This window comes from Homo sapiens, chromosome 6 (assembly GCF_000001405.40).
Source record: "Homo sapiens chromosome 6, GRCh38.p14 Primary Assembly".
Classification (NCBI taxonomy): domain Eukaryota; kingdom Metazoa; phylum Chordata; class Mammalia; order Primates; family Hominidae; genus Homo; species Homo sapiens.
Window position 1 is genome coordinate 16,586,679 of NC_000006.12, and position 17,512 is coordinate 16,604,190.

The following is a 17,512-nucleotide window of genomic DNA, read 5'->3' on the forward strand; positions in this document are numbered from 1 at the left end:
ATCTCTTCAAGGCTGATCTTTCTACCAACACTTCTGTAGTTAGTATTAAAACATATCGGGGCTGGGGCATGGTGGCTCATGCCTGTAATCCCAGCACTTTGGGAGGCTGAGGTGGGCGGATCATGAGGTCAGGAGATCGAGACCATCCTGGCCAACATGGTGTAACCCCATCTCTACTAAAAATACAAAAATTAGCCACGCATGGTGGTGCGTGCCCGTAATCCCAGCTACTCAGGAAGCTGAGGCAGGAGAATCACTTGAACCGGAAGGCAGAGTTTGCAGTGAGCTGAGATCATGCCACTGCACTCCAGCCTGGTGACAAAGCAAGACTCTGTCTCAAAAAAAAAAAAAGTATCAAATCACTATCACCTCATTTTTCCCAGAGGGTTATGTCACCTAGTCTTAAAATTACTATTATTTGTTTTGGATTTGACTGTACTTTGATTTTAATTCCCAAGCTCAAGTGAAACCGACATGTTCATATTTCAACTGAGTGTAAGTTGGTGGTTATTTTAGTAAATTAAAAATGCTAAGTAATCCCAAATCCAGATGCCAAAACACTAAGCAGAAACCTAAAATCCACGTCCTGCCTAAGCGGCTAAATTTCATTAGAAACAAGTCAGATGATAACATCAAAAGGCATATATGAATTCCAAAGTAAAGATATGAAAATGAAGAGAGGAATTTCGATATCTAATACAGCCATGTCTTAAAAAATTCTTAAACATGTTTACCTGTTCACAAAGTCTACATACTAATACAGATCTTAGAATCACTGCAACACAAAATGGATATGAGCATATCAAGAAATCAACAAAATTATGTATGGGTCCCACAATAACTCTCCTTTTGTATATGTGTAGGCATTTATTTGCACTATTTTTGTTATGCCTCTGCCTTTGCATATGACACTCCCTTTGATTAACATGCTTTGCCTCTCCTTGCCATTTAGAAAATTCCTACTCATTTTTCAGCTGGACACAGTGGCTCATGCCTGTAAATCCAGCACTTTGGGGGGCCAAGGCGGGAGGATCACCTGAGGTCAGGAGTTCGAGACCAGCCTGGCCAACATGGTGAAACCCCATCTATACTAAAAAAAAAAACTAGCCAGGCATGGTGGTGGGCGCCTGTAATCCCAGTGACCCGGGAGGCTGAGGCAGGAGAATCGCTTGAACCTGGGAGGCAGAGGTTGCAGTAAGCTGAGATCGTGCCATTGCACTACAGCCTGGGCATCAACAGCGGAACTCTGTCTAAAAAAAAAAAAAAAGAAAATTCCTACTCATTTTTCAAGGCCAACCTTGAGCTTAAATAGCTTAAATTCCATTGTGATGTCATCCTCATCTATCCCCTAATGTTTTCTGGAAATCTAAGCAGAATAGATTCTGCCTCACCTACGTTTCCTAGCTCAGTGATGGCATCAACATCACTCTGACGTCTTCCTCTCCCAAATTATGCCCCATATTCAACCATGCAGCCATACTCCTCAACTCCCTCCGCTCCTCTCCGGCACCACCCTGGCTCATCTGGACTCTTTCCCTGGCCCCCTAACACGTCTCCCCGCGTCCACCCTGCCACCCTACTACCTTCCTTGGCTCCTGCCTAAGGCATTGCAGTGGCTTTCCATTTCTAAACATGGCCCCCAAAACCTGCATTCTCTTCCAACTTGCACTACAGCATGGCTGGCTTACTTTCAATTCCTTAAAAGGACCTTGCTTTCCCAGGCCTTAAAGCCTTTGCACATGACTTCCTCCTTGCTAAGACTTCTCCTCAAATCACCCACCCCTTCTATCAAATGACCTTGTATTCTTTTCTCCTTCAGCTCTCAGCTCAGTCCTCTTCTCAAGGGAGACTTCCTCAGCCAGGTCACCACCTCCTAGGACACACTTGTATAGAATGACCCTCCCTGGTTATAGTAGTCATTTTGTAACTTTTACATTTTTTGGTTGATTCATTGATTAATGCTTGTTTTCCCCCACGAATCAATAAACTCCAGAAAGGGAGAACTGTGTCCACTCTCACCCCTCCTTTCATCTTTGGGATTCAATGGAAAGCTTTGCACATTATGGGCACTCAATAAAATCTTCTGAGTGAATAAATGAGCCAAAGAAGGAGGGAAGGAGGAAGGGAGGGAGGAAGGTAGGAAGAAAGGAAGGTCATCCCTTAATCATACTGATTTAATTAGTGTTGATTGGATTCATCTGTAAATCGTTTTCCAGCACACAGAGTATGACATCTACATTCCTTTGGGTAACATGCAAGGCTCCTTGAGCTCTGACCCCAGCCAGCCGGGTCTCTCCTCCTGCTGCACTTGACCCTCAGCACCTCCAAGTCCCTCCCTGTAGCTCCCTGACCCCATCTTGTTTCCCTCATCTCCACACCCTTCTCTCTTCTGTTCCCCCCACACATCATCTTTTCAAACTCACTCAGTCTTCAAGTCTCAGGGCTGGGGACGCTTCTCTGTGAAAAACTCCCTGACACCTTCTGGGAAGTGGGGGCCCTTTTCTCTCATTTTTCTACAACCCCTGTACCTATCCCTATTAAAGCAATTATCATATTTTCCTGTACTTGTTCCTTAACCAAGTCCATCTCTCCCACCACAACCTAAGTCCCTTAAAGGCAAGAAAGAGGTATCCCCTCATCATAGTACCCCAGAGTTTCGTACAGCAGCGTGGCACATAAATTAACAACAACAAAAAAAAGAAATGTGTGTATATACACGCACACATATATATTATATAATCTACATTTATATATTATATATACATACTTATATATTATATATACATCACACACATACACACACGTTTCATACTGCAAAGTTCCAGAGCTGGGCATCTGAAATATACGATTAATAGAGAATGTTATTATTAAATGTGGTAAGGCATAATGATTACAAATTCATCTGTGAAACGGGCTAATAACACCTACCTCACAGGGTTGTTACGAGAGTTAACTAAGCTACATAAGTAAAATGTTTAGCACAGAGCTCAGTATACTGGAAGCACTCCATAAATATTAATTGTACAGCCATTATCACTATCAGTATTGTTAGGGCAACTAAGCTGAATTTACAACTTATGGGTAAAATGTAACAGTTTTATTTGCCAGTATCTTTCATATTAAAGCATTAATTAGCATTAGCATCTGTGTAAGAACATAAAATGCCTAGAAAGGAGCTCAGAAAATTAAGGATAAAGAAGAGTCTTATCCGTTGCAACTGAAGGACTAATGATTGTTTCGGTAATCTGTGATATATGTGTGAAGGAAGCAAAGCATCAACAACAAAGCATTTCTGTACAAAAATTATCTATGAAGTCTAAATGACAGAAACTACACATATCGCCATTCAAGTGCTGTAAACATTGAGCTGACGTAATTATAAATACTTACTGTAAGCTATTTCTTTTGCTAAAAAAAAAATTAGAGATGCATATTCATCCACTTCTGTTAATTACTGGACAGAGTAATGTGACTTCATAAATAAATACTAAGGATTTGACTAATGAATATGCCATAAAATGTCTGAATTAATAGCAAGCACATTTCATATGTGGTCTATTAGATGCTATTCTAATTTAGAATTGCAGAAATTTAATGAAATAGACTGCAAACAGGAAAATACAGGCAAGACTATTTTGCAATGCACTTTGGAAAAAAAATAAGAATGAATTGTTTACAAATGCTACCAGTACATAGTTGAACAGAATGAACTGGTAATAGTTATTTTACGAAGCAAACTCATAATTCTGCCCTATGTTGCTTTTCTCTTGCATATTGGCCAAATTTAAATAATGCATATTAGAGTTTTATATATTAAGTCCTACTGAAATATAAAGTACTATCATTATTGCATTTTGAGATTTCTATTCTCAATTCACATTTATCACTGATAAAAGATAAAACCCCAAAGCAAATCATTTTTCTGATTGAGGCTTTTCCTCAGAGATACTAGAGTTGTAGGGGAAGTATAAAAATACTAAATTCATAACATTCTTTTTTTTTTTTCTTTGAGACAAGTTCTCACTCTGTTTCCCAGGTTGGAGTGCAGTGGTGTGATGACAGCTCACTTCAGCCTCAACCTCTCGGGCTCAGGTGGTCCTCTCACCTCAGCCTCCTGGGTAGCTGGGACTACAGGCACACGCCACCATGCCTGGCTAATTTTTTAATTTTTTTTTTTTTTTGAAACATAGTTTCACTCCTGTTGCCCAGGCTGGAGTGCAATGGCGCAATCTCCACTCACCATAACCTCCGCCTTCCAGGTTCAAGCAATTATCCTGCCTCAGCCTCCTGAGTAGCTGGGATTACAGGCATGCACCACCACGTCCAGCTAATTTTGTATTTTTAGTAGAGATGGGGTTTCTCCATGTTGGCCAGGATGGTCTCGACCAGCATGTGGTCTCCCAAAGTGCTGTGATTACAGGCGTGAGCCACTGCGCCCAACTATTTTTTTAATTTTTTAGTAGAGACAGGGTCTTGCTATGTCGCCCAGGCTGGACTCAAACTACTGGTCTCCAGCAATCTTCCCACCTAGGCCTCCCAAAGAACTGGGACTACAGGTGTGAGCCACAGTGCCCAGCTGTAACCTATTCATTTACCATGAGACTATTAAACTCCTTTTAAATTGAATTATAATTCTATTCCATGGCCACAGCTATTGACCAGTTTACCCTAAGTATATGGTTCTTTGCAACATAATTAAAATGAGAAGGTAGAATAGACAAAACCAAAAAAGTCTTAATTTGATCATTTTTATTTAAATTTACTATTAATTTCATTACCATGATGCTTATGTTTGCGTCATAACATCTGATGGAATCTTAGTAATATAAGGCAAAATTCTTTGTTCATTATGCTGGTCCTTCAATCAGGGATGTCCTCATTCATTCAAGCATTGCTCTTCCTTTAAGATTCAGCTCGATGTCACTTCCTTTGTGACATGCTCCCATACATATTGTATTTTCCCTGCCGTGTAATGATCTGTCTCCCTTTCTAGACTATGAGCTCCTTAGGGGCCCCAGCGAGGTCTCTGTATTTTTCATAACAAACTGCACAATTCTTTGCACAGAATATACTCTCAGTAAACACTGGTTTGATGTGTGGGTGAATACACACACTTTGATACTCTTATGACTATGGTGAAAAGGCCACTAATTGTGATTTCAACTTAAAGGTTAAAGCCAAAAAAAATCCATTTTTTAGTGAAATGAAACTCTTAGCGTTTTCACTTCCAGATGCATCAGCATTACATAAAAGATGTTGAAACTATTTTAAAAAATAGTCATGCTGCGCATTTTCCTGTCTGAGAATTAGACTGAAAATACCAAATTCCCCAGGGGCCCCTGGGTGTTCTAAAGACAAATGTTCAGTTAGCTATTGATTCCATGCACTCATTTAATGGAAATCCGGAGTAAGACTCAACCTCCCCACCACCAGCCTGTCACTCATTATTCTGCTCAGCTGTTTCAGAATAAGCGACGACTCCCGGGAGAGCTCTGCCCCCCTCCCAGTACTGGCCAGCACTTCAGTGATGATGAATCCGAGCAGCAGAGAATTTCAGTACTCAAAGCAGCAGAACATCAGTCCCAACTTACATTTTCCACTTCCATTGTCATTCTTATTCCTATATGGGCTTATTTCTCACATATCCACCTTTGATTTTTCAAGATCGAACCTTTGAAAAGGTGAGGGCCTGGCTGCCTAACATATTACATCATCACGCATATGCCGGACTCCTGCCTCACTCAGAAGACCACGTGTTGCTCAGAAAAGAAAGGTGGGCACCAAAAGAACAGGTTTCTCATAATATCCTACCCAGGCCCACAGTTAGACGTATTAGTCACTGTTGGGACAATGAATATGGGTTTTCCAAGAGGTGATCAAGCCTTTACTTGATGGATTTTCTTTTCTCCACGCCCCAAGATTTTCTAGGCTTTTGGTAGGAAGCACTATACAGAAAGCACCCACGTCTCCTAGCTGATTCTGTGTCTGGAGTTGGTTCCTTCTGGTGGGTTCGTGGTCTCGCTGACTTCAAGAATGGAGCCGCTAACCTTTGCGGTGACTGTTACAGCTCTTAAAGATGGCACAGACCCAAAAGACTGAACAGCAGCAAGATTTATCATAAAGAGTGAAAGAACAAAGCTTCCACAGCTGGAAAAGAATCTGAGCAGGTTGCACTGGTGGCTGGTGCGGGTGGGGGTGGGGGGTTGGGGGGGGCAGCTTTTATTCCATTATTTTTCCCGTCCATGTCCTGTTTCTGTCCTATCAGAACGCCCTTTTCTCAATCCTCCCCATGATTGGTTACTTTTAGAACCCTGCTGATTGGTCCATTTTACAAAGTACTGATTGGTGCATTTTACAAATCTCTTGCTAGCTACAGAGCACTGACTGGTGCATTTTTACAGAGCACTGATTGGTGCATTTTACAAACCTCTTGCTAGCTACAGAGCACTGACTGCTGCATTTTATAATACCCTTGGAAGACAGAAAAGTTCTCCAAGTCCCCACTCGACCCAGGAAGTCCAGCTGGCTTCACCTCTCAATTCCACTCAGTAGTTACTGTCAGCCTCCCCCTAAAACCTCCACCACTCAAGGAGCGACACTGTCAGAAGCAGACCTTCTAATTACTCCTGTGTGATCTCAAGCCCCCTCCCTGGGGACTATGGAAAGAGAATGTTAGGAAATAGAGATGGAAAAAACAAGCCATAATTCTGACATGCTATCACTTTAAAAATATTTCTATCATGCAATGTTTGTAACCCACAAAAGAATGCACTAACATGTACGTAACCTGTGAAGCATAAGAATAAAATGAACAGGCATACACCGACCACCCTATTTGAGAACTAGACATTTAGGGGTATTTTGATCCATCTACCTATTTGCTATTTCCCTAAGCCATCCTCCTGCCTTCTCTCCAGGGGTAACCACTATCTTAAATTTTCTATCTATCACTCTCTAAAATACATAGTTTAATTGTGCTTGATTTTAAACTTTATAATACTATCATACTGTATATAGTCTTTTGTGACTAGTTTTTTTCACACAATATTGTTTCTAAGATTTAGCCATGTTGTTACAGGTAGCTACTATAGTTCCTTCATATTCACTGCTGTATAATATTCCATTCTGTGAAGCAAAAAATTATATATATGTATGTATGTACGTGTATATGTGTGTGTGCATATATATATATATATATATATAAAGGTTCTCAATAGACTAATATATATATATATTAGTCTGGAGAGATAGAAGCTAATACATATATTAGTCCAATTATTATACATATTAGTCTAATTATTATATATTAGACTAATATATGTCTATAGAGATAGAAGCTAATATACATATTAGTCAAATTATACATATTAGTTCAATTATTATATATTAGACTAATATATATTAGTCTACAGGGATAGAAGCTAATATATATTAGTCTAATTAATATATATATTAGTCTAATTGTCATATATTAGACTAATATATATATATATGTCTGTTGACGACCTTTAAAATTTTTTCAGCTTCGTTTTTTTTTCTATTAGAAACAATGCTGTGTCCATTAGGAACAATACCCATCAGCATAAGTTTCCCTGGGTTATTGCCTAGGAATGGGTCTATGAATATTCACTGTTAAACAATAGTGCCAAATTGCTTTCCCAAATGACTATATCAACCTACACTCCCACCAGCAGTGCACCCCACCATTTTTTAAAACTGATAAATCATTTCAGAATCAAGAAAGAGATCTATTTGTGCTGAAGTTGGTGTTACAGGCTCAAATTCCTTTTTTTCCTTTTTTTTTTTTTATTTATTTATTTTTTGAGACGGAGTCTCATTCTGTCGCCAGGCTGGAGTGCAGTGGCACGATCTCGGCTCACTACAGCCTCCACCTCCTGGGTTCAAGTGATTCTCCTGCCTCAGCCTCCCGAGTATCTGGGACTACAGGTGCGCACCACCACCCCCACCTAATTTTTGTATTTTTAGAAGAGACGAGGTTTCACTATGTTGGCCAGGACGGTCTGGATCTCTTGACCTCGTGATCCGCCTGCCTCGGCCTCCCAAAGTGCTGGGATTACAGGCGTGAGCCACCGTGCCCAGCCTACAGGCTCAAATTCTAAATATCCATAAAGAAATAAGCATCCTGTCCCTGTCTCTCACATTGGTGAGTTTATACTTTGTTCAGCACTAAGCATAACAAACGAGAGTTACTTCGTAAGATGACGGTTACTTTACCACCTTCAAACATGGCATTAACTAATGACTTAGATTGGACTGAGGGTTAATAATTTGAAGACTCCCCATGACCTTCTTTCCTAGTCATTCAATTCTTAAGCAAGGTGGATACCAAAAGTGTCCAAAAATGCCCTAGCGTACATGAAGTGCCAGGGGCCAAAACCACCCACTTAGAACAGGAAATCATGTACAAATATAAGTACCTCAAGCTTGTGAAATTGAGAGACTTCTTTATTTCCTTCACTATTAGAAGCAGAGGAAGAGAGGGCTGATTAGATGGGGGGAAGGCTTAGCTTTTATTTTAAAATAGCAAAATCGAAAAACTTTGTAATTAGATTTTGCCAGACTTAGGCTTAAAGGAAAATGATTCTTTCCTCTCCAAAAGAATAAGGTCAGAGCCTAAGACTCCCAAACCTTTGGTCCTGGCTCAAAGGGTGAGCTACGAATCGGCCCGTTCTTCATCATCCTCCTACATATACCTATAGATCTGTCTGGGCATGAGTACAGAATTGGCAAATACAGGGTATGAGAAGAGACAACGATAAAACGGACAGAATGTGGTACTGTTCAAATGTTAAGAAGTGTCAGGAAAGCACCACAGCTGACGCTGAAGTTAATCTGGAGGGGAACTAATTTACCTTCTTTAACACAAGTGGAGATGAGGGCAACAGTCTGTGAAACACAGTCAGTGTGTTCTTTCTCCATTATGGTCTCTTTCTTACTGGTTAACTACAAAAAGCAAGGAAATGGCTGAAAGGCAGGCAGTGAGGGGAGAGGGAGGAATGAGAGACTTTCACCTGTACGAAGGATGTCTCTGGAAAACGGAATGTTGACAGAGAGTAAACAAGCAACATATGCTATTAATGCCTGTTAAGTCACCTTTTTGAGATTTTTTGGTGACTATCAGTGAAGTCTTATGCCTCTTATTAAATTCTCACACTGTTTTAATTAAGTAGGGCCTTATTTTAATCACAGTGGTGGTGCCTTCTCGTTTTAAGCTAGTGAGCTGGAACCCAGCCAGGCAGTGTTAAACAGGAGCGAGAGACTTTCCTTCTTCGTCAAGGAAGCTTTTGCAGCCCCGTTATTTTGTTTTTTTATTTTTCAGAGACTGAATCTAGCTCTGTCACCCAGGCTGTGCAATGGCACGATCATAGCTCACTGCAGCCTCTAACTCCTGGGCTCAAGCAATCCTCCTGCCTCAGCCTCCAGAGGAGCTGGGACTACAGATGCACGCCTCCATGCTTGGCTAATTTTTACTTATTTTTTGTAAAGACGAGGTCTCTATCTTGCCAAAGCTGATCTTGAACTCCTGGCCTCAAGCAATCCTCTCATCTTGGCCTCCCAAAGTGCTGGATAACAGGTGTGGCCACCGTGCCCAGCCTCAGACCTCCTTTTCTCCCCTATCCAAAGCCTGGTAAACAAAGTGAGCTGATTTGCATATCTAAAATCGGGTGCTGGATGCCTGCAAATATGATAGGGAAATATGTATTTGGAACCTCAGGTGAAACCCCAGCAAAAACATTAAAATCATCACATTTGAAGGAGCCCTTTGTAATGCTGATATGTAAAGATCCCATTAAAACACAGCCATTCTCCACAACTACAAAAATCTTTGATTTAAAAATGACTTTGGATTCCTATGTCACGTTAAAAGTGTGTTGGGCATTTTATCCAGTGACTTAGATTATCCTTTCAGGAGAAATACTGTACTTCATTGTAAGTCCTTAATGAGGGACCAATTAGTCCTTCCCCTCCACTTCAAATTCCTCTGGGAAATGAGGTCAGAATCCACTTCCCACCCAAAGCACCTCATGGAGGCTGCATCAAATACTACAGCAGCATTTGTCAAAGGGGAGCCCTTTCCAAAGGCAAGATGGGTAGAAGGAGAAATCTTCATCAAGGGCTATGCCTTCCACCGACAGGCACAGAGCACAAAGAAGCTCAGCATTTACTATAAGATCTTGCACAGGAGCTGTTCAAACAAGCTGAAGCACACACCCACGAATTTCATCTCAGCGACTCTCTCTTTTACCTGCTGCCACAGGGACAGCCTTCCTGCTCCCTGATTGGGTGTCTCGCTGGCTGTGCACTCACCTGCAGGGCGCAGGGTGTCCCACCTGCATCCCCCTCCTGCTCCATCTGCATCATGCACTCAGAGGGGAGTGCCACTGCTCTGGGTCACCAGCCTGCTCTGGCTCTGCCGCAGCCTCCCAGGGGATTGAGCTCCTACTCCTTCCACTAGAAGCATGGTGAGCAAATTAGAGGTTATAAACACCTCCGGTGGAAGGAGGAGAATTCCTTTGGGCTTTGTAAGGGAACCTCGTCAGCCGCAAGAATCTCCGGGGTATAAGACATAGGTACATGCTCACCCTTGCCCCTTGGCCCTGTTGGGCATATGTGGACCACACCTTTTTCTGCCCACAATTATGGCAGAAATGCCCATCCAGGAAAATGCTGCTTCACATGTTCGAAGAATGCCTCACATGGTTGAGAATACTGCTGGTCCTCAACAAGCAGCATAAATCTATTTTTTTTTTTTTTTTGAGACAGAGTCTTGCTCTGTCACCCAGGCTGGAGTGCAGTGGCGCAATCTTGGCTCACTGCAGCCTCTACCTCTCAGATTCTAGCGATTCTCCTGCCTCTGCCTCCCCAGTAGCTGGGCTTCCAGGCACATGCCACCACACTTGGCTATTTTTTTGTATTTTCAGTCGAGACGGGGTTTCACCATGTTGGTTAGGCTGATCTCAAACTCCCGACCTCAGGTGATCCACCCGCCTCGGCCTCCCAAGGTGCTGGGATTTGCAGGCGTGAGCCACCATGCCTGGCCTAAAACTATTCTTGATGTAAGGAGAAACATATTCCTAAATGCTAAAGGCAGTGCTGCCAAATCCATGGCTCCCAGCATAGGCTAAAGTTTTATTAGGAGACCAGGAGTGCACACATCTCTGGCCAGGGACAGCAAAGAAAGGCAGCTGAGTCCTACAACACTGCTGGAAGGAGAAGCCAACAGTCTAGGATTTAAAAAAAAAAAGAAGCTGAGTCTGCCATTAAGAATGAAGTAAATTGCTAACACAGATTTTTAATGTTCTTACACACACACAAAATGATAAACTGGTGAGGTGATGAATATATTAACTAGCTTGATTGAATCTTGTTATAATGTATGCATTATAAAAACATCACACTGTACCCCATAAATATACATAATTATTGCCTATAAATATAAAAAGTTAAAACAAAAAATTAAAGAAATAAATGGTGAAGACATTTTTTAAAAAATGAATGATGCTTTCATGCATGCTACATAGCTTGTCACAACCTGCCGGAACGGGTTGCCAATGTGACATGCTTTTAAGATCACAGCCCTCCAGCAACACATTGATACCTGAAACTCCATAATTAAGAGTTATTTCCTTTTGTTTAAAGATGTTTTCTCTTTTGAAATTTCAGTATAATATGCTACTTTGGAAGTGGTATATCCAGATCTCCAAAATATATGCATATGCATATTTTAAAATCAAAGCCGAGTATTGATCCTAACTTTACCACTTTCCAGCTCTGTCACTTTGAGGAAATTATTTACTGGCTTGACCCTCAAGTTCATCCGCTGTAAAAGGAGTCACTAACGCTTGTCTCAGAAGGTTGTTACGTATATAAAACTACGCGGCCCAGACCACACCCACAGCAGCCACTCGGACACTGGTTTTCCCCTCTCTTTCTACACAGCAGGTCATAAGAAGTAAGGACAACTCAAGGATGCTGGCTTCCTGGTGTGGAATGATAAGGCGGCCAGCAAGCTGGAGTGGGGGTGGCAGGAGAAAAGGACACCTGGGCCCCATGACAGAACCTGTTTCACAAATGTGGTGAGGGGAGCTCTGCTCCAGTGCACAAAAAGGCTGCAGGCTGACACCATTTTGCAGTGTTCACTGGCAAGGCTGCTGACATAGAAACTGGCCTCCGTCAAAAAGTCACACCTCTCCTTTTCCTGGCTTGGTGTCCAGCTGAAAAGAGGAGGGGTTCATGTGCATCTGGACAGCTTTACCCCAAGGGCACCTGCAAGGTAGTAGGAGCAGATGAGGCTATGGCCAGATGACAGGGGGACATGCCAGCAGAAGGAACTAATGCAGCTTCCAACTTGCTGGTGCCCAGCCAGACCCCACTGATTTGGAGACTTTCCTGCCAACTTGCCAAAAACTGATCTGACACCCAATGGTGTCACCAAAGATGTTTTCTTTTCCTATGCATCAGTACCTCCACACCCAGGGATCAGTCTTCCTTCACCTCACTCTAAAGGGCCAGCCATCATTGCCTTCCAAGGTATGAACCAAGAAATGTCACCACTCACTCAGGTGAACAGGCCACAGAGGACTAAAAGTGCTGGCCCTATAGCAGCCTCATGCAAAAACAGATTTGTGCACTGAGAAGACTTTTGAAATTTGAAAGGCCGCTACTAAGAAGATAAACCCTCCAAAGATTTCCTTCTATCATTGTTATTCATTAAAAAAAAAACAAGCTTAGGCCGGGCATGGTGGCTCACACCTGTAATCCCAGCATTTTGGGAGGCTGAGGCGAGCGGATCATGAGGTCAGAAGATCGAAACCATCCTGGCCAACATGCTGAAACCTTGTCTCTACTAAAAATACAAAAATTAGCTGGGTATGGTGGCACGTGCCTGTAATCCCAGCTACTCAGGAGGGTGAGACAGGAGAACAGCTTGAACCAGGGAGTCAGAGGTTGCAGTGAGCAGAGATCGCGCCACTGCACTCCAGCCTGGTGACAGAGTGAAACTCCGTCTCAAAAAAAAAAAAAAAGCTTAACTTGAATGAATGGGAACAAGAGGGTTATTTAAAAAATAATAAACAGTAACAGCTATCACACCTAAAGGTGACATTATCTAGAAACATTAACATGTCAAGACATCAGCCCTTCTGTTCCTTCTGTTCCCCCAAGAGGCCTATTTGGAGCACCAGCAAAATGCATTTGGAGGATCACTAAATCTAACAGTGTTCACTGCTGTAGTGTTATGAGAGTGTTTCACTTTCAGGAAATTTCAAAAGGGAAAGGTGGGAAACAATGTGTGTCCTACATGGAAATCTCACATGTGGTTCATTGCGTCTTTTTTCTTACACAGCTGCCATTATATAATTCTTGGCCATTGTTTTTTATTTAATAATTAAGATGAATAATCTTGGGGTCATCCATTGTATATGTATCTGTGGTAGGTTTAAAAATTCCAGTTGACCTTTCCCTAGCCCCCAGTATACTTTTGGGCTACTTCCTCCCTAAGATGAGCTATGTGCACACATGTGGCACAATTTTAATACTATCTAAGCAAAACCACAAACCAATAAAAGCATCATCCGGTGCTTCTCAAAGCCAAAGGAAATGATTTTGGAGCAACACATCACTGATTACATTCCATTAATACAGATAATTAAAAGTTGACTGTATAATAATGTTAAATAGCAGGCATAACTTTTTTTGAAAATTTCTCCGTGATATTAGCTATGCAAAAACACTGACTGAATGTTCAATGCTAATCAAATTCATCTCCTCTTAAGAGCAGCGTATAATAAATGGGTAGCCTAAAAGGAATGCTTTGAACAGAATGCTTCACTATTGTCTGATTATTCTAAATTTAAAACTCCAACAAAGGAAAGGATTATTCTTCTAAGGTTCAAGATTCGTGAGGATTTGGTAACGAAATTCCTTAAGGACAGCAAATTAAAAAATTGCTATCTACAAGCTGCCACTATTTTATGTCTGTATAGTGTTTTAAAATCAAAGTCACTACCCATTCAACAACAAATGTTTGTTTGGAATAAATGAATGAAAGAAACAGCCTCAAAATACTTTACAAGTTTAATCACCTATAAGTTATGAATTAGGCAGCAACTTCAATCATTCCCAAATGATTGAATCATTTACCTCGCTGGGGTAAGGTATATGTCTGGCAAGCCAAAGCCAGAACTAGAAACTCAAGTAATTCCTTTGATTCTTAGAAAATGACGCAGTTGTTAGAGCTGGTTGCCTGCTGCAGTTGTCTTCCTGTGTACTCTCAATACAATTTGGAAGGCATGTTATCTAGGCTAGGGGAGGTAATAACAAAGGAGGCATAACAATTAGGCTTGCTCCTGAAATTATACGGGTAGTCAAAAAAACGAAGGACCCCACCATCACCTACTAAGCTATGTGATGGGTACCTAGCTGGTAAAAGGTGTTTCCAAGACCGGATCTAAGTTATTTCATAGGTAACTTTAGAAAGCACGTCCCAACGTGGCAGTGTTAAATTCATGTGTAATTTCAAAATAGGGTATCAGTGTATGAGGCATGTAGGTAGTCTAAGTTATGTGACACAGAGCATTTAGCCTACATCAAAAGCTAAAACTGAAAAATGAAATTCTTATTTAAGTATGTTGCTATCTTCACTCTAATGAGATACGTGGAACAAATTACTGGGGCTAGAATGTATTATAACAATAGTAAGGAAGAAGGTTCCTGCTGGATACTTGGTAAGAGGTGGGTGGGGTCCAGGATTTCCAGGGGACTTTGAGTTTATTCTTCCAACACTGCTAAAATGCATCTATTTTCTATTCTGACTTTCTAACAGGATGCAATCTGAGAGCCAGCCAGCCACTTAAAATCTATTTATTTCAGCTGTGCGCAGTGGCTCACGCCTGTAATCCCAGCACTTAGTGAGGCCGAGGCGGGCGGACCATGAGGTCAGGAGATCGAGACCATCCTGGCTAACACGGTGAAACCCCATCTCTACTAAAAAATACAAAAAATATTAGTTGGGTGTGGTGGCGGGCACCTGTAGTCCCAGCTACTCGGGAGGCTGAGGCAGGAAAATGGCGTGAACCCAGGAGGCGGAGCTTGCAGTGAGCCAAGATTGCACCACTGCATTCCAGCCTGGATGACAGAGTGAGACTTTGTCTCAAAAAAGAAAAAATCAATTTGTTTCAACAATCCAGAGTAGAAATACAAGTAGAAGATTTTGTGCAAGCGTATTTTGTGCAAGCGTAATCTATTTTGCAAGCAGAAAATTCTCACGTATTTTAGAGTCAGGGTTCTCAAATCATAAATCTTAAAGTTTTCAGAATCCATGCCAAGGGACTTAAGAAAATTAATATTGCCCCCATATAAGCTGTCTTTTGTATACTAAGCATCAGCAAAGCATCTGCCCCCAACAGCTATTTTACTGGTCCCAGAGGAAAGATAAGCAGAGTTGTCTTCCGCAAAATCATAAAGAAGGTCAAGTTCATCTGTAGGATCCTTCCCCTTAGGCCCTCTAGGTGCCTCCCCATTGGGCCCCAGGGGTTTCTACTCCGTAATTCTTTCCCACCCCTGCCCTGTCAACTTGAACACCAGTGAAACACCACAGTGTTTCAATATGAATACACTTCAGTCACTGTTTTTGCTCCGCCCACCAAAAAAAATCCATACTTTAAAGCTTTTAATTTTTTTAAGCTTTTAATTTTTTTAATTGAAGCATCACTTTACTTTCTTTTAAATTCTAACATCAGTGAGCAGCCAAAATTCTTTTTTTTTTTTTTTAGATGGAGTCTCGCTCTGTGACCCAGGCTGGAGTGCAGTGGCATGATCTTGGCTCACTGCAACCTTCGCCTCCTGGGTTCAAGCAAGTCTCTTGCCTCAGCCTCCCAAGTAGCTGGGACTACAGGCGCAGGCCACCATGCCCTGCTAATTTTTGTATTTTTAGTACAGATGGGGTTTCACCGTGTTGGCCAGAATGGTCTTGATCTCTTGACCTCATGAACCACCCGCTTCGGCCTCCCAAAGTGCTGAGATTACAGGCGTGAGCCACTGAGCCTGGCCGCAGCCCAAATTCTGAACGGGGAAAGAGGATAAGGTAACGTCTCCTACTTTTGCAAGCTTCTTTTGCTTCCTATGAAGGCTTGCCATAAAGATAGAAATGCTTTGACATCACAAACTGGGTTCATGTTCCACTGTGACCATGGACAGGCTATGTAACTGAGCTTCGGCTACTCATTTACAAAACAGGAATTATCATAATATAATGTAATGTAATATAATAATTATGAGATAATGATATAAAGTGATTGGCCCATTGCAATGTTAAAGAGCCCTCTCAGAAGGAGCACCATACTTTCTTTCTAAGTGCCGATAAAATAAAAGATAAAAGCAGCCGACTGGGATTGACCCAGCCACCTCTGCTAAGGGCCTCCTACCTAGAGTCACCTCACTGGGACCTGGGACAGCATGATTCTTACCAGTTTCTGAGAGCTTGAGGTCTTGGGCCCTCGAGCCAGGCGTCCGCTAAAGGCAGGTCTGAGGTTAGCCCATTTCCCAGTTACCATTCTCCTTTCCCCTGGCTTTTCTCCTTCCAAGAGGCTTTAAGCCTTTCCCACTCCTCCCTCCTCTCCTTCTGGTCCCCTGCCTCAACTCACCCAGAGACTGAGAATGCAGTACCATTCCTCACTGGGCCACCTTCCCTTTCCAGGCTCCATACTCCATTCTGTAATAAAGTTCTCATGGGGAGACCTCCAACAGCCCAACAGTTGAGTGTACACAGCCTTGAGTGCTTAGCGGCCAGAACCTCATTGAAAACACAGTTCCATAAGGAAAGGCAGGTTTTAAGACGAGCAGGTGACCAGGCAGGCCCCCACCATAAATGGGGTGAGCTCGCCAAAAGCTAGGCTTGACTTAGGCCTCATTTGGAGGTCTGAGTTGAATTTCAAAAATCAAATACAAAAACACTGGCAGAAGTTTAGAGAGGCAGAAAAGAGCATTACCACAAGAAAAGACGCGGGAGGCTTCACCAGAACAGGCAGGAGGAAGTAGGTGAGGCACAGCAGGTGAAGTGGGGGAAGTGTTCCACCAGGTGAAACTGGCCTGGTGGCTGTGGGGTACAGGGGAAGAGGTGAGCAGGCTGGGGTGGGGATGAGGACAGTGGCAGAAGATTGACGAAGGCATTGTGCAGCACCCCATGCAAAGGGGCGCCTCTCCGTCACACAGGTACTGGCATGAGGGTGTGGGGACCGAGTCCTATGAGTTCCTGGGTCTCTACCAGGATTTTCCAGGTCAGCATCGAGTGATACTATCTCTCCTAGAAGTGGTGGGAACTGATGGGAATGACCATGGAAGCTGAATCCACAAACCAAGGGTCTCCTTATCTTGTCCTCTCATGGATAAGGCTTCGTAAAGGGGGGATTCCTCAAGGTCTTTTAACCAAGTCTGCACATGGGAGAAAACGATGGAAAGCAGATGGAAATGCTTCTCAAGAACCTCTCAATAC

At 42.3% G+C, this 17,512-nt stretch overlaps 1 protein-coding gene across 3 annotated transcripts in view, besides 1 other annotated feature; it reads right to left on the bottom strand.

Annotated features, from left to right (window-relative positions):
• Nucleotides 1-17,512, bottom strand: part of ATXN1 (ataxin 1) — a 462,349-nt gene that overhangs the window by 287,567 nt on the left and 157,270 nt on the right. The window lies entirely within an intron of this gene.
• Nucleotides 16,592-16,777: a silencer, noted in NCBI's record as "fragment chr6:16603501-16603686 (GRCh37/hg19 assembly coordinates)". NCBI's record gives its function as "represses an EF-1alpha promoter that drives an FKBP-Casp9 reporter gene in an ReSE screen in HepG2 liver carcinoma cells {active_cell/tissue: HepG2}" and the evidence as "EXISTENCE:reporter gene assay evidence [ECO:0000049][PMID:32094911]".